This window comes from Homo sapiens, chromosome 17, assembly GCF_000001405.40.
Source record: "Homo sapiens chromosome 17, GRCh38.p14 Primary Assembly".
NCBI lineage: Eukaryota > Metazoa > Chordata > Mammalia > Primates > Hominidae > Homo > Homo sapiens.
Window position 1 is genome coordinate 76,240,862 of NC_000017.11, and position 24,224 is coordinate 76,265,085.

Below are 24,224 nucleotides of genomic sequence, written 5' to 3' on the forward strand. Positions count from 1 at the left end.
CCCGCGGTCCGCGAGGACTGGCCGGGAGCTCGCTCGCCATTGTCCTGGGCGTCCCAAAGCGGGCGGTCCCCGCTCCGCTGCTCCCGCGCCTGGAGGAAGCCTTCCCAACCCCGCCCCTCAGCGTCGGCCGGCGGAGGTCTTCGGAAATCTCATGCAGGGGGGTAGGGAGAGGGGTCCCACGGTGCATTCGCATGTCTCCTGCCCCGTGTTAATGCTGGTGACCGGCTAGGAAGATGCCGCCTCCCTCTCACGTGCGTCTATTCAAAGCGCTCCCAACTCTATACATGCTGTTTAAGGCTCCTTGTAGCCCTAAAGTTAGGAGAACATCGACTGAGGATAAGATCAAGACATCCAGCCTCTGTCTGTATCGTGGAAACGGGACCCCGGAAACTTTGGAAAGGCCTGAGTGCCAAGAGAGTCAACGCAGGCGAAAGCGAACCGGGCCAGGCAGAACCGGGAGCTCCTGTTGATAAAAACACACACAACAGTGGGAAGCTTGGGCCGGCGGAAGACGTCATTCCATTGCTTAATTACAGACATTTGTGTTTTAAACCTTCTATTTTCTTTGTGGGTCTGGTGTTTTTTTTCCTGAGAGAGTGGACTGATCAGCAAACATTTCAACTGCTAGAACATGACTTTCACAACTTTTCAACAGTGTTCGAAGTACAGTTTGGGGTGTCTGGTTCCCTTGATTAGGTTTGTAAAGCTATTTTACGGAGTCTAGGTCTTTCCTGGTTATATTTTGTTTTTGTTTTTCTGTGTTTTGAGACGGAGTCTCCCTCTGTCGCCCAGGCTGGAGTGCAGTGGCGTGATCTCAGCTCACTGCAACCTCCGCCTCCTGGGTTCAAGGGATTCTCCTGCCTCAGCCTCCCGAGTAGCTGAGACTACGGGCATGTGCCACCACACCCGGCTAATTTTTCTACTTTTAGTAGAGATGGGGTTTCACCATGCTGGCCAGACTGGTCTCCAATTCCTGACCTCCGCCCCCCAAAGCGCTGGGATTACAGGCGTGAGCCACCGCGCCCGGCACATTTCGTATTTTTCATTGCCGTCTTTTCAGCAGCAGCCAACAGACCTGATGCTAAGTGCCTTGGTTTCCTCCAGGGTCCTCAGGATGGTGGGAACACATCCCTGTCATTTATATTGGCTGCTGCTAACGAAGGCTTGGGTTACAGGGCAAGTCCCTGCCCCGGCAGCTTCTCCCAAGCACCAGAGCTCTCTGGCAGAGTCCCTGGTCCTAACTACTCCAGGGCTTTCAGTCATCCCTGTGGGAGGGAACTGGTGTCCTCCTCCATACTCCTTTCAGCACACACAGGCCCTACCTTGTAACTGCTGGGTAAAGGTAAAATGCAAATAAGAATCTAGAACCACCTCAAAACACAAGGCCTTCGACACATCACAGAGTAAAATGTTGCCTTATGCTCCTCGGCTCTGTTCAGAAGCCTTGGTTCTTCCTGCCCTCGGCATTTTGTAAACGGGACATCCCTTCCCTTTGTGGGTTTATCCATGTCTGAGAGTTTCTTCTGCTTAGCCAGGGCCAGGCAGGGATGTGGCTTAGTCAAGCAGCCCAGTCCTGTTGCTTATGGGGTGTCTCTTCTGGTCCCACCTTGGCCTGACCCTGGGAAGCCAGCTTCTCCATCTTGAATAATACTCCCCAAGCCTAGAAGTTGGTTCCTCCTCCCACGAAGGAGTCATGAGTCCAATGCTTAGAATAGTAAAGAAAAACAAGGCATAGCACAATAAAATTAGTGGATATTTATGGAACACTCTATGTGCCAGGCTGTTTTAAACACTTCACACGTATTAAAGCATTCAACCCTCCCAACAACCCTATCAAATACATGCTATTTACACCCCGATTTTACAGTCGAAGAGAATGAGGCACAGAAAGAGCACTAGACTTTGAGTTGGACAAATCAAACCCCTAAGCAGCTATGTAACTTTGACTTAAGCCCTTAGAAACGGTCTCCGTTTCCTCCTCTGAAAATAGCCCAGTCTCCAATGGTTATTGCAAAGATGCAATAAGTGAATCAAGACTCTTTTGTTTTGTTTTGTTTTTGAGACAGAGCCTCACTCTGCTGCCTAGGTTGGAGTGCAATGGTGTGATCTCGGCTCACTGCAACCTCCACCTTCCGGGTTCAAGTGATTCTCCTGCCTCAGCGTCCTGAGTAACTGGGACTACAGGCGCCCGCCACCACGCCCGGCTAACTTTTGTATTTTTAGTAGAGATGGAGTTTCACCATGTTGTCCAGGCTGGTCTCCAACTCCTGACCACAGGTGATCCGCTCGCCTTGGTCTCCCAAAGTGGTGGGATTAAAGGCGTGAGCCACCACACCCAGCCAAGACTCATTTTTAAAAGAATGTTGACCAGAGACAGAAGAGAAACGGATAGAAGGCAGTTTAGAAACTTCTAGATCAAAGAGACTTTTTGTGAATTGAGCTACAGTCCCACAGTCTACAGTGTAATCACCTAGTGTGAACAATTTTGGAAATAGAATCTCAGCCAGTGCCCTGGGCAAAGGCGAGATAAGCAGCTAGACCCTCGGAGCAGCCGACTCTAGAGGGGCTGAGTCCTGCATTCCTCTATGGTTCTTCCCTGGCTCCACTTGGCTCCCTCGCCAAAGATCTGGGCCAGGGAGAGTGCCCGAGGGAGAAGGCAGCTCAGATAGGAGGAAAAATCCAGAAGTGACTGCACCAAGAGAGCCATAAAAATGTTTTTAACTTGAAAAATGGTCTGGGGAGGGGTTGCACAGTGTGCATAGGGAAATCACATGCAAATACCACACGTGCTTTGTGGAAATAGCCTTGTAGCACCCTATCCATTTCCACACTATGGATGCAGCCCTTGGGAGAATCCCAGCAGACAACACAACATCCAAGGGTCTCAGCGGTTTTCTCTAAACATCCCTGGAAGGCAAGGGGCAAAGCCAGGTATTTCTATCACATTGAAGCTCTTCTTCTGCAACTTGGGTCTAAGGGAGAAAGGAGAAGGGTGGGGGAAGTACGGGGACAAGTAATTTTTAGGTGAGCTTGTCCCTTTGGACTTTTCATTTTGTTCATGTTGCTGTCCTGGTTTCAGCCCAGATGTGCCATTTCCACCCTTGTAACACATGCAATGATTAGCTTAGTGCAGGAAGGAGTGAGGGAGCCTGCAGGTGGAAACTGACAGACACAGCCCTGCAGCACAGCATTCCTGAGGCAGCAGGGTTTGGGAGGCAAACCAGTATCTCAGGTGACCTGAAAGAGCTAAGAAAGGTCTCTGATTTTGGGACAGGAAGATGAGAATCTTGGCTGTTCTTAATGAGTACCAGCTCTCTCCAGAAGATAGGGCCCAATCAGCCACACATGGGCCCGATCCCTCTTTTAGTCCTCGACATGTGGCTTCGGTGGATTGAAGCCAAAACCACCAGCGGAGAATGTCACATCCTGCTCCAGATCAGTGGGCTAGGCTAACGTCGACAGAATAGTCTGATCCTAAATGCTTTGGGGCCCTGCAGATGGTTCCTCTGGCAACCTAAGGCTCTCTGTAGAGGAAAATAATCTTGTCCATTAGGAAATCCGCAATCAGGCTTTCATATTTTGCTTTTTGCTGAGTGTGAATTCCTCATTGTTAATTTCGTCCTCCACTCTGGGCTGCCAATAAAGAAGAGTTGTTCAAATGGATGCAGACTCCAGTCCAGTTTGTAGCCTATTAATCTATTTTTCAAGTTAAGACTAAAATGAAAGATGATGTTTACACGGCCCAATGTGTTGGGGATAAGGCGAAGTGAGTGGGGCACCCAGAATGTCAACTTTAAGTTCTCATTCTCAGCCACGCACAGTGGCTCACACCTGTAATCCCAGCACTTTGGGAGGCCAAGATGGGCGGATCACGAGGTCAAGAGATCGAGACCATCCTGGCCAACCCCATCTTTACTAAAAATACAAAAATTAGCTGGGCATGGTGGCACGCACCTGTAGTCCCAGCTACTCGGGAGGCTGAGCCAGGAGAATCGCTTGAACCCGGGAGGCGGAGTTTGCACTGAGCTGATATCAGGCCACTGCACTCCAGCCTGGCAACAGAGCAGGACACCATCTCAAAAAAAAGAACAGTTCTTACTCTCAGTGTCATGCAATTGCCTCACCTGCCTCACTCTGGTTCCAGCCCTGCTGCCCAGGCATCTGGCATTGGAGAAATGAGGGGCCCAAGACTCTATTTATGTTTACAGACTAGTTTGAAGAAATTGGGAGAGTCTGTTCTATTTTTTGTTGTTTCTATCAAATACCAGACCTTGTAAGCTTGGTTCTACCTGTTCACTTCTGCCTTCATTCTCTTCCTTGTTGGTCCTGCTCTTCTTTTGGCTTTGAGCTCACTCCACCTGGGACTACACATTCTGCATCCTAAAGTTGGTGTAAAAAGAATGTGCGGGCTGGGTGCAGTGGCCCACGCCTGTAATCCCAGCACTTTGGGAGGCCGAGGCAGATGTATCACCTGAGGTCAGGAGTTTGAGACCATCCTGGCCAACATGGTGAAACCCCGTTTCTACTAAAAATACAAAAATTAGCCAGGCGTGGTGGCACACGCCTGTAATCCCAGCTACTCGGGAGGCTGAGGCAGGAGAATCGCTTGAACCAGTGAAGCGGAGGTTGAAGCGAGTCCAGATTGCGCCACTGCACTCCAGCCTGGGGCCACAGAAGGAGACTGCGTCTCAAAAAAAAAAAAAAAAAAAGTGTGAGGCTAACATTTCAGCTTGGCAGGGCAGGCCTGGTAGCTCACACCTGTAATCCCAGTGCTTTGGGAGGCTGAGGTGGGAGGATTGCCTGAGCCCAGGAGTTCAGCACCAGCCTGGGCAACATAGTGAGATCCTATCTCTACAAAAAAAATATTTAAAAATTAGCTGTGCAGGCCAGGCGCGGTGGCTCATGCCTGCAATCCCAGCACTGGGAGGCTGACGCGGGTGGATCACGAGGTCAGTAGCTCAAGACCAGCCTGCCCAACATGGTGAAACCCTGTCTCTACTACAAATACAAAAATTAGCCAGGCGTGATGGCGCGCGCCTGTAATCCCAGCTACTCAGGAGGCTGAGGCAAAAGAATTGCTTGAACCCGGGAGGTGGAGGTTGCAGTGAGCAGAGATGGCGCCACTGCACTCCAGCCTGGGTGACAGAGCAAGACCCTGTCTCGAAAAAAGGAAAAAAAAGAACATTTCAGCCCAGCATCGACTCCAGCTGCCCTTCTTGGAGAAACAGACCAGACCAAATAGGCACAAAGCCCAGCGTCTGCCTCTTGCTACCTAGAAAAGGTAGAATGTGGAAGCGGCAGCGTGGTGACAGCCCCAAACCTTTCTTTAACAAAACAAATACTCACCTGCGGTTACTTAGATCAAAAGAAGAAAATAACAAACAGGGTTTCTTGAAAATGCCTGTCCTGGCTAGATGGTCAGATTTGGAAGGAATCTCAAAGGTACAGCCCCTCCCCTGACAGATGAGGCAGCTGCAACCTCTACAGGGTAAGGGGCTTGCCCAAGACCATACAAGTGGTAGCCATAGCTCAGAACCCAGGGATCCCTGGCTCCCTGTGCACTGGGTCTTGATATGGGAAGCTGGTGCTATGCTGGTTTTATCTCTCTCTGTCTCTCCTTGGTGAGCCATCTCCTACAGCTGTCATAAGAGGACAAGCCGACTTGAGGTTGAGCTCTGAAGCTCAACACAAGTGCACACACGTGTTCAGCTGTTGCAATATCAGTGTGAGCATGCAATCAACTGCACTCACAGGAAAGTTGTCTGTAACTGTGCTCAAGTCAGAATCAGAAAACCACTGAGCTCCTCTCAGCTGGAGACTCCCTGCACCCTCCCTCTGCTCTTCTGAAACTGGAGCTGAGGTCAGGGCTGCAGAACTGAACTGATCAACCAGTCACCTAACTCCTCCCAGGCACAGGAACCAAAGGGCTGCTGAGAAAAGAGAAATGAGAGGCCACTGAGGGTTAGGAGATCAGATTCTTAGCAAGTAGGTTAAAAGTGCCGTATGCATGCTAATAGTGTGTCCAGCTAAAGTCTGAGTGCCAGCCAAAGTCCACTACAGACAAGCAATTTGTTTACAATGACACATTTATTTCTGAGCAAATTGCTTGTTTATTTATGTGATAACTACTATCCTATTAGGGTATTTCAAAGACTGTGTGTTGATCCTGACAAAGTAATAAACAGAAATACCACTCACTGTTATGGTTCTCACAGTAAGCTATTGGAAGCCTTAGGTCTTTTTTACGCACCATGAGGTATATATTTATTACATTGTTAGCCGTATCCTGTTATCTTTTTTTTTTTTTTTAAGATGGAGTCTCTCTGTCACCCAGGCTAGAGTGCACTGGCCTGATCTCGGCTCACTGCAACCTCCACCTCCCAGGTTCAAGCGATTCTCCTGCCTCAGCCTCCTGAGTAGCTGGGACTACAGGCGCACGCCACCATGCCCAGCTAATTTCTGTATTTTTAGCAGAGACGAGGTTTCACCATGTTAGCGGGGCTGGTCTTGAACTCCTGACCTCAAGTGATCCACCTGCCTCGGCCTCCCAATGTGCTTGGATTACAGGCGTGAGCCACCACGCCTGGCCCTGTTATCTTTTATTTTATTATTATTTTTTATAATAATAATATATAATAAATATCTTTGTTTATAAAGATATAAATATAATAAATATAATAAACATATTTATTTTTTGTTGTTGTTGTTGTTGAGACAGAGTCTCATTCTGTCGCCCAGGCTGGAGTAAAGTGGCACGATCTTGGTTCACTGCAACCTCCGCCTCCCTGATTCAAGAGATACTCATGCCTCAGCCTCCCAAGTAGCTAGCTAGGATTGTAGGCATGCGCCACCACGCCCAGCTAACTTTTTGTATTTTTAGTAGAGACGGGGTTTCACCATGTTGGCCAGGCCAGGCTTAAACTCCTAGCCTCAGGTGATCCACCTGCCTCGGCCTCCCGAAGTGCTGGGATTACATGAGTGAGCCACTGTGCCTGGCCCCTGTTATCTTTTATATTCCAAGATGAAATCTGTGTATGAAAAGAGGTCTGGTAATTTCATTAGCTTCCTCTCTGGTTTTCCTATTTTCCTACCTCTTGGTCTTCCTTCCCCTTATCCATTCTCTAAATTATTCTCAGGTTAGCGTCACCAATATACAGCTGTCATCATGTTACTCCCTTATCTATATACTTTCAGTGGCTCCCTGTTACCTTACAGAAGACAGGTGCTTCATCCCTGAGCCCTTTCCTCTCTCTGCTTCCCAATAAACACCTGCTCATACCCCAAATGCAGCTTATCATTCCTGCTCATGTATGAGTTTTTTGTTTTTGTTTTGTTTTGAGACAAGGTCTTGCTCTGTCACCCAGGCTGGAGTGCAGTGATGCAATCACGGCTCACTGCAGCCTCCACCTCTCGGGATCAAGCGATCCTCCCACTTCAGCCTACCGAGTAGTTGGAACTACCAGCATACAGAACCACTCCCAGCTAATTTTTGTATTTTTGGTAGACACAAAACCCCTTTTATAGAAGGAGTTTCGCCATGTTGCCCAGGCTGGTCTCAAACTCCTGGGCTCAAGCGATCCACCTACCTTAGCCTCCCAAAGTGCTGGAATTACAGGCGTGAACCACTGCGTGTGGCTCCCGCTCATGTTTTTGCTCACAAAAAAACCCTTCCACTTGTGCCCTTTCCATTCCTGTCTGCCAAGGTGAATTCCACTCAGCTGAAATCCTGCCTCTTCCATGAAGCCGCCTCTGAGAACTGCTGCCAATAGGTGGCTCTTCTTTCTCAGAAGTTCTATTGCATGAATTATTTTCAGTATAACTTGATATTTATGTGCAAGATGCCCTCAGTCTACAAAGGCAAAAGACATATACAGTTGTCCCTCTGTATCTATGGGGGATTGGCGCTAGATACCAAAATCCTTGGATGCTCAAGTCCCTGATATGAAATGGCACAGTATTTGCATACAACCTACTATGCACAATGTCGGGTAGGCTTTAAATCATCTCTAGATTACTTATAATACCAAATACAATTCAAATAGTTGTATTACCTTTTATTGTATTATTTTTCATTGTTTCTTTTCTAATTTTTTTTTTTTTTTAAACAGAGTCTCGCTCTGTCAACCAGTCTGGAATGCAGTGTCACAATCTCGGCTCACTGCAACCTCTGCCTCCTGGGTTCAAGCGATTCTCCTGCCTCAGCCTCCCGACTAGCTGAGATTATAGACATGCGCCATCACGCCTGGCTAGTTTTTGTATTTTTGGTAGAGATGGGGTTTCACCATGTTGGCCAGACTGGTCTCAAACTCCTGACCTCAGGTGATCTGCCCACCTTGGCCTCCCAGAGTGCTGGGATTACAGATATGAGCCACTGCGCTCAGCCTCTTTTCTAATGTTTTTGATCCATGGTTGATTGGATCCATGGATATGGAACTCAGGGACTTGAAGGATCAACTTCATAAAGCTCTAGAGTCAAACAGAGCAAAGTTCAAAATCCAGGTCTTCCATTATTGGCTGTGTATCTGGGAAAGTTCTTTGACTTCTCTGAGTTCATTTATGCTTCATCCATGAGAACATCTAAGAGCTCTTTGAACATTAAGTTAGCCAAAGCATGTGCAGCCCTCACACAGTTCCTGACATACAGCGGGTGCTCAATGAATGCTAACTTTTTTAATTAAAAAAAAAAAAAAGCTGGCTGGGCATGATGGCTCATGCCTGTAATCCCAGCACTTTGGGAGGCAGAGGCAGGCGGATCACTTGAGGCCAGGAGTTCAAGACCAGCCTGGCCAACATGGTGAAACCGCTTCTCTACTAAAAATACAAAAATTAGCTGCATGTGGTGGTGGGTGCCTGTAATCCCAGCTACTTGAGAGGCTGAGGCAGGAGAATTGCATGAACCCGGGAGGCAGAGGTTGCAGTGACCCGAGATCGCACCACTGCACTCCAGCCTGGGTGACAGAGCGAGACTCCATCTCAAAAGCAAAAACAAAGCAAAAAAAATCCCTTCTTTAACAAAGAGATTAGCTTCCAAAAAAATAATTTTTAAGGCTAGGCGTGGTGGCTCACGCCTGTAATCCCAGCACTTTGGGAGGCCGAGGCAAGCAGATCACGAGGTCAGGAGATCGAGACCATCCTGGCCAACATGGTGAAACCCCATCTCTACTAAAAATACAAAAAAAAATTAGCCAGGTGTGGTGGCGGGCACCTGTAGTCCCAGCTACTTGGGAGGCTGAGGCAGGAGAATGGTGTGAACCCAGGAGGCAGAGCTTGCAGTGAGCCGAGATTGAGCCACTGCACTCCAGCCTGGGTGACAGTGAGAGACTCCGTCTCAAATAATAATAATAATAATAATTTTAAAGTCAGAGTTTCTGGATTTCCAAGTCAGGATATGTATTTGAGAGTCTGCCCAAGATGAAACCGAGGTCCACGCACTTCCCATACCAGGTGAAGGCAGAGCCCAGGGGTTTCGATTTCCTGAGACATCACTTTTCTGTGTTCATTGAAACTCAAAATGCCAGAAACATGTCTCCCTTATCACGTGTGGTGGCTGCTAAAGGGCCAGAGAAAAAGATAGCCCAGCCCTGCTCCTTCTTAACAAAGTACTGCCAACAAGTCACTGCACTAGAAGAAAGCAAGGCCCCTAATCGGCCCTCTTGCCCCTGCTGTCTGGATTAGCCATCTGTGGACGTGTGTGGTGTGTGTATTTGCGGATGTGTGTATTTGTGGGTCAGAGTTTGTCTGCCATTGTTTTGGGGGGTTTGCTTTTTGTTTTGAGATACGGTCACCAGGCTGGAATACAGTGGCATGAACGTGGCCCACAGCAGCCTCGACCTCCTGTGCTCAGGCGATCCTCCCACCTCAGCCTCCTGAGGAGCTGGGACTAAAGTGCGCCACCACACCCGGCTATTTTTTTTAAGAGATAGGGTCTCACTATGTTGCCCAGGTTGGTCTCGAACTCCTGGGCTCAGGTGATCCTCCCGCCTCAGCCTCCCAAAGTGCTGGAATTATAGGCGTGAGCCACCGTGCACGGCCTTCTGCCATTGTTAACTTCTCACTTAAGTGCCATTTGCTAACTAGAAAGAATGTTCAAGTTCACTGAGTTGGGGCCAGCTCTCCAGGGCTCATAGTTCAGGAATTTTGCCAGCCAGTTGTTAAATTGTTGGTAGCGTAATGGGAGTATTTACAACACAGAAACCATCAAATGCTGCAAATCACAGCTTCCTCCCATTCTCCAGAGCCAGTTTACCAGCATACCCCTGGTCTTAGGTTTCTTCTAATCCCCCAGAAGGGCTGGGTACATTGCTTCCCATATAGAAAGTGCTCACTAAATGAATGACTATTTAGTTGTTGTTGTTGTTGTTGTTTTGAGACGGAGTCTCCCTCTGTAGCCCAGGCTGATGTGCAATGGCGCAATCTTGACTCACTGCAACCTCTGCCTCCCAGGTTCAAGTGATTCTCCTGCCTCAGCCTCCCGAATAGCTGGGATTACAGGTGAATGCCACCATGCCCAGCTAATTTTTGTATTTTTAGTAGAGATAGGGTTTCACCATGCTGGTAAGGCTGGTCTTGAACTCCTGACCTCAGGTGATCCACCTGCCTTGGCCTCCCAAAGTGCTGGGATTATAGGCGTGAACCACCGAGCCCAGCCAAGAATAGTCATTTTTGAGCAATGACTCTGTCCAAGCACTTTGGAATGCGTTGTCACCCGAGCTGGAGTGCAGTGGTGTGATCACAGTTCACTGCAGTCTCAACCTCCTGGGCTCAAGCGATCCTCCCACCTGAGCCTCATTTAATCTTCAAAACAACCCTAAGAGATAAGTATTATTGTTCCCACTTCCCAGATGAGGAAACTGGAACTCAAGTAGGCACAGGGAGCAGGAACTGGCCCCAGGTTCTTCCAGGTTCAAAGTCCTACATTTTACCCATGGATCATCATCTCACCAGCCTCTGTGGGGAAAGCCTGCCTGGGTGCCAGCCCTACTGCCCACCAAGCTAGCGGAGTGATTCTCCCAGGGTGGTGCCAGTGACAAAGGGCAATGCATGGGGACGTCTCCATCATTGTCACACCACCACCTCCACCTTCACTGTGCCTCTCTCTAGGTTTAATCTTTCTTCCTTTTCCTCCTCACTTCCCTCTGTATTATCAATCTCCTTCCTGTATCGGGACTATTTCCTCAACAGGCCCGGGGAAGCTCTTGTCTATGGAAGTCCTCTTTGGCCTTAAGCTTCCCTCTAAGAGCTCCAGCAGATGAGTAACCTGTCCTCCTGCAAACACTGCCATGAAGTGCGTAGGCAGCTGCCTGCCTTCAGGGCTGGATGGACACCCTGTTTCCTTGCTCAATCCCTTCTGATGACTGGACTCTGTACACAGTGTGGTCAGTGGGTCAGCTCTGATCTGGAAGCTCCCAAAGGCAGGACACAAGATTTTCTCTGACTGTTCCCAGGCCCCAGGGCGTGTTGGGCACGGGAGCGTGTGGCACGGATGTTGTTCGTGATGAGGCATATTCTAGTGGTTTCCCAATTCGGTTGTGTACAACCCAGTGCTCTAGTGTTCAGTAAATACTTCCTTCCTCTTTAGGCAGAACACTGGCTCTGTGTTTTATTAACAGCACCTCATGCCTGGCCCAAAGAATGATTTGTGTGGCTTGGGCTGTTGGGGTCAGAAATGGCATTCATTCATCATTCACTCTGGAGGTGCTGTGTTTCTGAAGGAGAAGGGGACCTATCCTGGCAAACAAATCAGGGGCTTTATGGTAAACAAACTCCTCTCTTCCCAGCACTTGTTTCTTGCTCTCTGTTTTTGATTTTCTCTCTCTTTCACTTTTTTTTTTTTTTCACTATACCCGGGCTTCCTGAGTTCCTGACAATTTCTAAAGCCTCAAGCATGATCTCATCAGAAACTCTGGCTTCTTTTAACATTTCTTTCCCTTCTGCTGAGTCCTAGTCCATTTAAATTTCCTCTGTGACTCTGGGAATTTTTTTTCCTTGAGACACAGTCTCGCTCTTGTTGCCCAGGCTGGAAGTGCAATGGGCTGATCTCAGCTCACTGCAATCTCTGCCTCCCAAGTTAAAGCGATTCTCCTGCCTCAGTCTCCCAAGTAGCTGGGACTACAGGCATGCACCACCATGCCCGGCTGATTTTGTATTTTTAACAGAGACGGGGTTTCACCATATTGGTCAGACTGACCTCAAACTCCTGACCTCAAATGATCCGCCCACCTCGGCCTCCCAAAGTGCTGAGATTACAGGCGTGAGCCACCGCGCCCAGCCGGACTCTGGGATTTAAAGATAACCAAGTGAAAATAGGTTCATCCTCTTTGACTCACAGCCTGGCTGCCTGTGGAGGCAATGAGGAGCTGACATTCACCTGACCCCCGTCCTCTACTTTCGGGTATGCAGAGGCTCTCTTTTGCTGCCCGCGTCAAGTTAGAAGAGGCCACATGATTCTTCGGGACAGTGAACCATGAACAAAGGTGTACTGCAGTCATGTGTTGCTTAAAGACCCGTATACGCTCCGAGAAATGCGTCATTAGGCGATTCTGTCGTCGTGTGAACATTCTAGAGTGTACTCACACACACCTAAATGGGCTAGCCTACCACACACCTAGGCCATGTGGCATAGCCATTGCTCCCAGGCTACAAACCTATCCAGCATGTTACTATACTAAATACTGTAGGGAATTGTAGCACAGTGGTGAAGTATTTGTCCATCTAAACATAGAAAAGCACTTTGGGAGGCCAAGGCGGGCAGATGACTTGAGGTCAGGAATTTGAGACCAGCCTGGCTAACATGGTGAAACCCTATCTCTACTAAAAATACAAAAATTAGCCAGGCATGGTGGCAGGTGCCTGTAATCCCAGCTACTCAAGAGGCTGAGGCAGGAGAATCGCTTGAACCCGGGAGGCGGAGGTTGCAGTGAGCCGAGATCAGGCCATTGCACTCTAGCCTGAGGGACAGAATAAGACTCCGTCTCAAAAAAAATAAAAAATAAATAAATAAACATAGAAAAGATACAGTAGAAATACAGCATTCTAATTGAGTGGGCCCACCTTCACAGACGCAACCCATCATTGACAGAAAGGTCGTTATGCAGCGTGTGCTGTGCTCCCAGGCTAAGCGTTTCATTGCCGATGCTCAGCTCTTCAGTCCTCTCATTGTCTGCTGGCATGTTCCATATGGTGCAAAGTGCCAGAGAGGACATCGTTATGGCTTATGGCTTGTATATTGCAGCTACTCAAATAAAAAAAATTATTAATTTGGGAGATAAACTGGGAGATCAAGGTTCCAAAGGAGGAGAGGTTCGCCCCAGGGTCACATACAAGGGGAGCAGTGGAGAAACTGCATGGGCTGTGAAGGGGGCTGTATTGAGGATTTCACCAGTGGCTGGGAAACGGTGAGCTAGGAGACGTCGACGTCTTCAGAGGAGGATCAGGACTTGGGGGAATTTGTGGGTTCCCTGGCAGCCTCACAGTGGTTGTCAGACCCTTCCCTCTTTGGAATGTGCCATCACAAGGCATTACATGCAATAGGTGTAATGACGGTGCACTAGCAGGCACACAGTAGGGAGACTGACCTAATGCACAGTAGGTAGACATTAGTGCATTAACACACACACATAGTAGGACTGACTGTCAGCATACTAGCAGGCACACACAATAGCTGGCAGGCCTTGACCACGGACAGAGTATTTTTCTCTACACTGTGGAAGAATATCTGAGGTCCTCTTGAGAAGCGTGAACTACATTCAGCTAATTTTTTATATTTCGTAGAAATGGGTTCTTGCTTTTTTGCCCAGGCTGGTCTTGAACTCCTGGGCTCAAGCGATCCACCCGCCCACTCGCCTCAGCCTCCCACAGTGCTGGGACTATGGGTGTGAGCCACCGTGCCCAGCTCTGCATTTTATTTTTTGAGAAAAAACAATCATACACCCAAAGTGTGTTTATAATTTACATGCACAATTAAAAAAAAAAAGACAGAGGCCAGGTACGGTGGCTCACACCTGTAATCTCAGCACTTTGGCAGGCTGAGGCAGGTGGACCACCTGAGGTCTGGAGTTCGAGACCAGCCTGATCAACATGGTGAAACACTGTCCCTACTAAAAATACAAAAATTAGTTGGGCACAGTGGCTAATGCCTGTAATCCCAGCTACTTGGGAGGCAGAGGCAGGAGAATCACGTGAACCCGGGAGGTGGAGATTGTAGTGAGCCGAGATTGCACCATTGCACTCCAGCATGGGCAACAACAGCTAAACTCCGTCTCAGAAAAAAACAAAACAAAACAGGATCTCGCTCTGTCACCCAAGTTGGAGTGCTGTGGAGATCTCGGCTCACTGCAGCCTCGTGCCTCTCAGGTTCAAGCAATTCTCATGCCTCAGCCTCCCGAGTAGCTGGAATTACAGGCGCATGCCACCACACCTAATTTTTGTATTTTTAGTAGAGACGGGGTTTTGCCATGTTGGCTAAGCTGGAATATACACAATTTAAAGAATAATAAACAATCACCTGTGTCCCCGACACAGAATTTAAGAAGTCCAAGACCTTTGAAGACTCTTGAATGACCTCTCCCAGATGCATATCCTCCTTTCTTCACCAGAGACTCAGTATCCTCCAATTTGCATTAATCGGTCCCTTGCTTTTCATTGTCATTTAATCCTATACATGTGTATCCCTGAGCAATGCATTGTGGGTTGGCACATTGATTCCACTGCATATGTGACCCAGTCCCTCTCCCTAACTTCTGGTGGGTGAGCTCAGTGGAGTTCTCTTACCAAGGTAGATTCCTCCAAGCAAGGGCTGGCCCTTTTTCCGTTTTCTGTGACCTCAGACAGCGACTCTGACCCAAACGAGCAACCACAGGTCATAAGGAGATAATCCAAGAAGGCTCCTTAGAGCAGGGAAAATTGAACCTGGGAAGGATTTGGATAAACAGGAAGGGGAAGAAAGGGAATTTTTGGAAGAGAGAACAGTGCAAACCAAAGCAAGTTCATAGCCACACACATTCAGGGCATCTGTTGGGAGCCTGTGGGGGTGCTAAGTTTGGACAGGCAATGGCTGGAATGAACGTGCTCTGGGCAGTGAAGGAGACGGGGTGGGGGGCATACATCCTTCATCCATGAAAAGCGGCACATGCTGTCAGGTTGGCCCAGAGATGCCTCAGATTCATCAGGTAAGGCTCAGCCATACCGAGGTAACAGACAGTTTTCCTTCTCACCCATACAAAGGCGGCTGCAGTGACTCAAGAAAATCTCCCCTTGGGGCAGTAATATCATGACCCATATGGGGAATCTTCCCTCCTCTCTCCCAGCTGTGAGTTGACAAACTGTAGCCGTGAAGCTGCTGCCAGTTTTTGTAAATAAAGTTTTGCTGAAAATTAGCCAGGCATGCTGGTGCTCCCCTGTGGTCCCAGGTACTCAGGAAGCTGAGGCAGGAGGATGGCTTGAGCCTGGGAGGTCCAGGCTGCAGTGAGGTAAGAAGGAGCCACTGGACTCCAGCCTGGGTGATTGAGACCCTGTCTCAAAAAAAATTTTTTTTATTGGAACACAGCTATAGAAATTTTTTTTTTTTTTTTGAGACTGAGTCATGCTCTGTAGTCCAGGCTAGAGTGCAATGGCGCTATCTCGGCTCACTGCAATCTCCGTCTCGCAGGCTCAAGCAATTCTCGTGCCTCAGCCTCCCAAGTATCTGAGATTACAGGTGCCCGCCCCCACGCCTGGCTAATTTTAAGTAGATACAGGGTTTCACCATGTTAGCCACGCTGGTCTCAAACTCCTAACCATAGTGTGTCCGGAATTGGTGGGTTCTTGGTCTCACTGACTTAAAAGAATGAAGCCGCCAACGTTACAGCTCTTAACGTGGCGCGTCTGGAGTTTGTTCCTTCTGACGTTCAGATGTGTTCAGAGTTTCTCCCTTCTGGTGGGTTCGTGGTCTCGCTGGCTCAGGAGTGAAACTGCAGAACTTTGCTGTGAGTGTTACAGCCCTTAAGGTGGTGCATAGCACTAGCAAGATTTATTGCAAAGAACAAAGCTTCCACAGTGTAGAAGAGGATCAGACCAGGTTGCCACTGCTAGCTCCGGCAGCCTGCTTTTATTCTCTTATCTGGCCCCACCCACATCCTGTTGATTGGTAGAGCCCAGTGGTCTGTTTTGACAGGGCACTGATTGGTGCGTTTACAATCCCTGAGCTACACACAAAGGTTCTCCACGTCCCCACCAGATTAGCTAGATACAGAGCGTCTACACAAAGGTTCTCTAAGGCCCCACCAGAGTAGCTAGATACAGAGTGCCGATTGGTGCATTCACAAACCCTGAGCTAGACACAGGGTGCTGATTGGTGTGTTTACAAACCTTGAGCTAGATACAGAGTGCCGATTGGTGTATTTAGAATCCCTGAGCTAGACATAAAGGTTCTCCAAGGCCCCACCAGAGTAGCTAGATACAGAGTGTCGATTGGTGCATTCACAAACCCTGAGCTAGACACAGGGTGCTGATTGGTGTGTTTACAAACCTTGAGCTAGATACAGAGTGCCGATTGGTGTATTTAGAATCCCTGAGCTAGACATAAAGGTTCTCCAAGGCCCCACCAGAGTAGCTAGATACAGAGTGTCGATTGGTGCATTCACAAACCCTGAGCTAGACAGGATGCTGATTGGTGTATTTACAATCCCTGAGCTGGACATAAAGGTTCTCCACGTCCCCACCAGACTCAGGAGCCCAGCTAGCTTCACCCAGTGGATCCCGCACTGGGGCTGCAGGTGGAGCTGCCTGCCAGTCCCGCGCCGTGTGCCCGCACTCCTCAGCCCTTGGGTGGTCGATGGGACTGGGGGCTGTGGAGCAGGGGGCGGCGCTCATCGGGGAGGCTGGGGCTGCACAGGAGCCCACGGAGGGGGTGGGAGGCTCAGGCATGGCGGGCTGCAGGTCGCGAGCCCTGCCCCGCGGGAAGGCAGCTAAGGCCCGGCGAGAAATTGAGCGCAGAGCCGGTGGGCTGGCACTGCTGGGGGACCCAGTACACCCTCCGCAGCCGCTGGCCCGGGTGCTAAGCCCCTCATTGCCCCGGGCCGGCAGGGCAATGAGCCCTGCCATTGGTGCGGAGCCCGCCAAGCCCACGCCCACCCAGAACTCCAGCTGGCCTGCAAGCGCCGCGCGCAGCCCCGGTTCCCGCTCGCGCCTCTCCCTCCACGCCTCCCTGCAAGCTGAGGGAGCCGGCTCCGGCCTTGGCCAGCCCAGAAAGGGGCTCCCACAGTGCAGCGGTGGGCTGAAGGACTCCTCAAGTGCCGCCAAAGTGGGAGCCCAGGCAGAGGAGGCGCGGAGAGCGTGCGAGGGCTGTGAGGACTGCCAGCACGCTGTCACCTCTCAATAGGTGATCTGCCCACCTCAGCCTCCCAAAGTGCTGGGATTATAGGCATGAGCTACGGCACTCGGCCACAAATTAAAATTTTTTATTTTGTAGTACAGACAGGGTCCCACTATGTTGTCCAAGCTGGTATTGAACTCCTGGGCTCAAGTGATCTGTCCACCTCGGCCTGAATAAAATGATTATACTGCCATTTCTTGATTTATCAATTTTAGAAATTATTTATTTTCAATTACAGTAGATCAATATTTACATACTTAAAACTGCTACCTCTACATCTGCTTCCCACCCACCATCCTGCAGGGCGCACCCACGGAGATGGGGCTGAGACCTGGCCTGGGCAGCTGGGGGCCTCTTGGGGCACTGGTACATGTTCGTAGTCCCAGCTGCCCAGGAAGCTAGGGCAGAAGGATCACTTAACCCGGGAGGTCGAGGCTGCAGTGAGCTGCATTGCACCACTGCACTGCAGCTGGAATGACATTGAGACACTCTTAAAAAAAAAAAAAAGGGCGGGCCAGGTGGGAAAGCTGCCTTGTATCTGAAGTCAGTGCCTGCCACAACAATAGGCCTCTTGTGTTTTGGACATGAAGCTATAGTGGCCTAGCTCCAGGCCCATCCATTTCTGTCCTCCCCAGAGAAAGTGGCTGGGAGTCCTGAGTCTGAGCAGATAACTAAGGACCCCTGAGAAGGAGGACCCTCCTTAGAAAGCTTTTACTTCTTGTCTTTTCCTTAGCAGAGAGGCAACCTCCTGTGTCCAGCCAAGTGTCTCTTTGAAAAGATTGCCAGCGCTGGGCATGGTGGCTCATGCCTGTAATCCCAGCACGTTGGAAGGCCAAGGTGGGCAAATCACCTAAGGTCAGGAGTTAGAGACCAGCCTGGCCAACATGGTGAAACCCTGTCTCTACTAAAAATACAAAAATTAGCCAGGCGTGGTGGTGGGCGCCTGTAATCCCAGCTACTGAGGAGGCTGAGGCAGGAGAATCGCTTGAATCCAGGAGGCAGAGCTTGCAGTGAGCCGAGATCGCACCACTGCATTCCAGCCTGGGTGACAGAGCAAGTGTCTCAAAAAAAGAAAAAAAAAAAAAAAAAAGAAAGATTGCCAGGGACTCACCTACCATTAGACACACCTAGCAAGCAGAGGCAGGGCCACCTTATCACTGGGTTGGCAGGTACAGGACAGAAAGTACTCACCAGTCAGAGTGCTGCTTTTAGGAAATGCCATTAACTGTGCTGGGAGTGGTGCGGCCTTTGTCCCTTGTGGGACATGTGACAATTGGTGAAAAATGTAATCTGGCATAAGCCAGCAATGAATTCATCACTGGGGAATTGGCTTTCACCATCCTGCTGCTTCCAACAGCACAGATAAGCTTTTGTATCTTTTCAGTATCATTGAGGGAGAGCTAAGGGGGACTCCAGGGGGCGGACAGGGCTTACAAAGTCGAATGTGATCATTAAGAGAGCCAGCTCTGGAAGCAAACACCAAGTATCTGGGCTCAAATCTCAGCTCCCTGAGCTAGCGAGTGATGTTGGGCAAATCACTTAGCGACCCTGACCTCCTTCATTTTCCCTTTTATTAACTGGGGATATGCAGAGTCCCACCTAATTGGGTAGTTGTGAGTATTAAATGATGTAACCCAGGCCAGGCATAGTGGCTCACACCTGTAATCCTACCACTTGAGGAGGCCGAGGCAGGTGGACTACTTGAGCCCAGGAGTTTAAGACCAGTGTGGGCAACATAGCAAGACCTTGTCTCAAAAAAGAAAAAAAATTATTAAACGATGTAAAATCCAAATATAGCACAGAGCTGGGCTCTTAGTGTGTTCCCAATAGACAGAGCTCTTCTCATCACCCAGGAAGACTGGGATATGCCTGGAGTAGAAGCAGCCCTTCTGCTCAGTTTCCTTCCTCTTTGAGGCAAAAGAATAGACACACACACACAAAAAATGGCTAGGCGCAGTGGCTCATGCCTGTAAACCCAGCACTTTGTAAGGTCAAGGTGAGAGGATCGCTTGAGGCCAGGAGTTCAAGACCAGCCTGGGCAAAAAAAATAAAAATAAAAATCAGCCAGTTGTAGTGTTGTGTGCTTGTAGTCCTAGCTTCTTAGGGGGCTGGGCTGGAGGATTGCTTGAGCCCAGGGGAGTTGAGGGTTGCTGCAGTGAGCTACTACACTCTAGCCTGTGCAACAGAGCAAGACCGTGTCTCAAAAAAAACAAACAAACTGGCTGGGCATGGTGGCTCATACCTGTAATCCCAGCACTTTCAGAAGCCGAGGCGGTCAGATCGCTTGAGGCAGGTAGTTCGAGACCAGCCTGGAAAACATGGCAAAACCTTGTCTCTACTGAAAATACAAAAATTAGCCGGGTGTGGCAGCGCATGCCTGTAGTTCCAGCTACTAGGGAGGCTGAGGCACGAGAATCGCTTGAACCCAGGAGGCAGAGGTTGTAGTAGCCGAAGTCGTACCACTGCACTCCAGCCTGGGTGATAGAGCGAGAAGTTGTCTCCAAAAAAAGAAAAACAAAGCATAAATTTGCAAGGAAAAATAGCAGCAAAAAATAGGTTATGTTAAACAAACAAAGGCTAGCAATAGCGTTGGAAATCCTCAAAAGGAGAAGAAAACCATCGCACCACCAGTGCCTCCTGGACCCGAGCCTTCAGGGAGTGTGTGAGTCCAGCCTGGCCCAGCTGCCTTGGCGCTGCTTGTTTTCATTGTCTTCTTATTGGCCCTTTCCCATTCTCCTTCTCCTCTCAACACCTTTCTACTTCTCTTGGCCACCTTGTCCTTTTGTCCTGGCATCTTGAAGAAACAATAGGGAAGCAAGAAATAAAAATTAGAGGATGGAAAAAAGAAAGGAAGAAAGGAAAGGAAAGGAAGGGAGGGAGGAAGGAAATGAGCTTTTGGATCAACCAAACCTGAATCGAATCCCAGTGCTACCATCAGTCAGCAGGGAAAAGCGAGTGTTCATGACCTTGAGTGGATTTTGTTTCCTCTCTGAGCCTTGGGCCTATTGGGAGTTCTGAGAGCCCTCAGATTCCATCTTTCAGCTTTGTTGGATCTGTTTGGATTTAGGGAAATAAGAGGTGGAAAGGAGGAAGAAAGGAACAAAAATTTATTTTTATTTTTTATTGTCATTATTTTTGAGACAGAGTCTCACTCTGTCGCCCAGGCTGGAGCGCAGTGGCACGATATCGGCCCACTGCAACCTCCACCTACGGGGTTCAAGCAATTCTCGTGCCTCAGCCTCCCGAGTAGCTGGGATTACAGACTACAGGCACGCACCACCACGCCTGGCTAATTTTTGTATTTTTTTTTTTTTTTAGTAGAGACGGTGGTTTCACCATATAGGCCAGGCTGGTCTTGAACTCCCGACCTCAAGTGATCCGCCCGCCTCGACTTCCCAAAGTGCTAGGATTACGGGTGTCAGCCACTGCGCCCGGCCAGAACAAGAATTTAACGCACTGCAGAGATGGAGGTTGGGAATGCCAGTTCTCTACCCTTCCCCCAAACCCATTACCCAAGAGAGCTGGTGTCCTTTTCTCCCCATCCCCACAGAGGCGGGGAGGGTTCACTCATTTCAAGCATCTCCAGTGGAACTCTTAGTGCCCTCTATAGATCTTTTGGGGAAGGGGCCCTTTGAGAGTCCCACGGAAGTGACAGCTGCAGCGGGAAGGGAGGTAGCATGGGTGAGCTAACCACTGCCTCGCTCCACCGCTGGACACTCTTCCCCTCCACTGTCCCTCAGCAGCCCCATCTGTGAAATGAGATTCTGGATTTGGGGGAGGATTGAAATGAGTTAATAGACATTCAAGTCTTAGAGAGCTGCCTGGCTCACAGGAAGTGCTTGGTAACTGGCAGCTGCTTGTTATGGTCCGGCTATTGTGTGCCTGTTTCAGGACTCATTCAATGACTTGCATTCACAACAACCTTGTCATCCGGGAACGGAGGAAATACTGCTAAGATTGTTTCTCTTCTTGGTTGCTGCCTCACCGCTTGTCCTGGAGCCCAGACCATTGATGTAACAAGGATTTTCTTTCTGAGGATACCATGTTTTATTTGTGATTCAAGCCTTTTTTTTTTTTTGAGATGGAGTCTCGCTGTGTCACCCAGGCTGGAGTGCAGTGGCACAAAATCGGCTCACTGCAAGCTCTGCCTCCCAGGTTCATGCCATCCTCCTGCCTCAGCATCCCGAGTAGCTGGGACTGCAGGCGCCTGCCACCATGCCTGGCTAATTTTTTGTATTTTTAGCAGAGACAGGGTTTCACCATGTTAGCCAGGATGGTCTCGATCTCCTGACCTCGTGATCCACCCGCCTCGGCCTCCCAAAGTTGCTCTATTTTACCTACCATACATTGTCCTCTCAGATTAAAATAATAGTACCTTCAGTTAATAATACCTTGCATTTAGGAAGTTGCTTTCCTCCCATCAGCTCAAAGCCCTCTACAAACATGACCTCATTCATTCTCCCAGGAGTGGGACAGTCCTAAGTTTCCCAGCTACTCATCTCCAACCGGATTCTCAGAAGCCAAAATATGGATTAAGCACTTCCATGTCTCAGGACCACAAATCACGGGCTCTGTTGCTCTCCTTCCTTCTTCCTGAGTGACCTTAGGCCCACAGAAGATAACTAGTACCTGAGTCTCTCTGGCTTGGGGGCCTTGCCCTCCATGCCCCGCCCAGGTGCCCACAGCTGGGCCCTGCAATTGTTAAACATTACATAAACTGGATAAACTGCCTTGATTTCCAGGAAATAACAGGTTTGGCAACTTTGGACTCTTGCTTTCCTTGGGAACTTACTTCTGAATTAAGACCTACGGGCTCATAGGGGACATTCCACTACAGCCAGAAATGTCTCTCCCCAGGGTAGACCCTCCTACTCACGGCCCTGGCATGTTTGACACCCGCATGTACTTATGAAAACCTGGAGCCCCACAGTGACAGTACTTCCTTCTTCTGGGCTGCTTGCGGCCTGAGCTCCCTGGCAGTGTATGCTGCCAGCTGCTCACTTTTGTTTTCACCTTGCAATTACTGGACGGGAAGGCTGCAAGCTATACTGGAGTCTCCAGCCACACGCCAGGTCCCAGCCCACGTGTACTTCAGGGCCATTCCCAGGAAAAAGCTGACTCCTACTCCTTCAAAACAAACAAATAAACAAAAAACGAACCAAATGGAATGAGCTCATGATAGTACCTGAATTTGTTTTTCATCAGTACAGAAACATTAACATTAATTGTAATCTTCTTCTTGTTTGTAAACTTTAAAAATACATACTGTCAAGTTTTCTTAGATAGGGAGTTAAATCCAATTTAGGCAAAGTCAAGATAGAACCACGACGTGCTTTCTTATTATAAGCCTCCTTCTGTTCTGCAGACCTTTAGCTGGTTAAAATACACTCTGTAATTAGTAGTTCAGATAAAAAACTCACAAAGTTCTCCTGAAACAGAAACTCTTAACAGTGAATCCCTAACAATATTTATCTTCCCAATCTCTTCTGCCCCTTCCCCAATCTGCTTAAACTCCTAGTTCTTTTCCTACCCCCACAATTCTCAAACACAGCCCTGAAGATCAAACTCTAATCCAGAAGATGGAAGCTCAGCACATACAAACAAATTTGGGGCCAGGCATGGTGGCTCACACCTGTAATCCCTGTGCTTTGGGAGGCTGAGGCAGGAGGATCACTTTAGTCCAGGAGTTCAAGACCAGCCTGGGCAACAATAGTGAGATCTCATCTCTACCAAAAATTCAAAAATTAGTCAGGCATGGTGGTGTGTGCCTGTAGTCCCAGCTACTCGAGAGGCTGAGGCAAGAGGATCGCTCGAAGTTACAGTGAGCCATGATCATGTCACTCTAGCCCTATCTAACAACCACCACCACCAAATTTTGGACTTTAAAGGGCTACCACTGAGAAACAGTATCTCTGTAGAAACACTCACTGTTTGTTATTGTTTGTTTTTATTTGGTAGAGATGGAGTCTGTGCTATGTTGCCCAAGCTGGTGTTGAACTCCCGGCCTCAAGTTATCCTCCTGTCTCGGCCTCCCAAAGTGCTGGGATTATAGGTGTAAGCCATCCCAACCCCAGACTCCACCCCTACTGCCACCCGTTGTTTTTTTAAAAGATGGTAGAAATTAAAGCTTCATCTTAGCTTTCGTGACAAGCAAGAGAAAAAAAAAAAAAGAAAATTAAAGCTTCAGTTAGGTCAACCGATTTAACAAGAAAAAATTCTTGACTTGGCATTTTGGCCACTGAGAAAGTCTCACTTTTTTCCTTGCATATTTCCTTGCATATCGTATTTATTGTACATAAATCTTGGCTTCCATCTTCAGAGAGCAAAGTCTTTGGTCTAAAAACTGAGAAAATACTGCTCGATCCTTGCGGTGGGTAGTGATTAGAAGAGGGCAGGACGCGGGTTCCTAGGGTGCAAGTAACGTTCTGTTAATTGATCTGGGTGTTCACTTGGTGAAAAGTCTGGAAGCTGTACCTGCGACATCGCACTTTCCTAATGTACGTTATATTTCAATAAAAGATTTTTTTAAATTGGACTGCTTGAAAGTTATTTTTAAAAATTACATGCTTTTGAGACTTGAGCAGCTGCAAAGGCTCTGTTTTCTATTTTGATCATTCTGTTTCTCGAGATGACCACATCTTTCAGAGGAAATGAGTCAAAGCCACTCTGTCTTGCTTTTCCAGCTGAGCATGTTCTGTTTCAATGAAGTAATGAATGAACTTGGCCGCACCACCCCCAAGCCTACAACAGCAAACAGAGGGCCCTCGGCCAATCAGCAGGCACTCCGGGTTTTCAAGTTGAGTTCAAACAGGACCACCGGAGGCCAATCAGAGTGCGCGGCCCCGCCCCGAACGCCCGGCCGTGACCAACCACG

General features: G+C 48.8%; 1 long non-coding RNA gene across 2 annotated transcripts, besides 4 other annotated features; it reads right to left on the minus strand.

Annotated features, from left to right (window-relative positions):
* LOC105371896 (uncharacterized) lies at positions 1–24,220 on the minus strand. 2 transcript variants are annotated; one of them, XR_007065913.1, is made up of 6 exons: positions 21,742–24,220; positions 20,261–20,403; positions 19,593–20,144; positions 14,770–14,907; positions 13,051–13,231; positions 1–3,633 (listed from the first exon to the last, which is right to left on the minus strand). It is a non-coding gene; the product is annotated as an uncharacterized LOC105371896 (long non-coding RNA). The 2 variants fall into 2 exon arrangements; XR_007065912.1 differs by having other exon boundaries at positions 20,261–24,220.
* Positions 11,249–11,318: an enhancer, noted in NCBI's record as "active region_12794". NCBI's record gives its function as "activates an Ori minimal core promoter by ATAC-STARR-seq in GM12878 lymphoblastoid cells {active_cell/tissue: GM12878}" and the evidence as "EXISTENCE:reporter gene assay evidence [ECO:0000049][PMID:35858748]".
* Positions 21,127–21,421: a silencer, noted in NCBI's record as "tiled region #14042; K562 Repressive non-DNase unmatched - State 7:EnhWF". NCBI's record gives its function as "represses a minimal TATA promoter and a strong SV40 promoter by Sharpr-MPRA in K562 cells {active_cell/tissue: K562}" and the evidence as "EXISTENCE:reporter gene assay evidence [ECO:0000049][PMID:27701403]".
* Positions 22,232–22,321: an enhancer, noted in NCBI's record as "active region_12795". NCBI's record gives its function as "activates an Ori minimal core promoter by ATAC-STARR-seq in GM12878 lymphoblastoid cells {active_cell/tissue: GM12878}" and the evidence as "EXISTENCE:reporter gene assay evidence [ECO:0000049][PMID:35858748]".
* Positions 23,890–23,939: an enhancer, noted in NCBI's record as "active region_12796". NCBI's record gives its function as "activates an Ori minimal core promoter by ATAC-STARR-seq in GM12878 lymphoblastoid cells {active_cell/tissue: GM12878}" and the evidence as "EXISTENCE:reporter gene assay evidence [ECO:0000049][PMID:35858748]".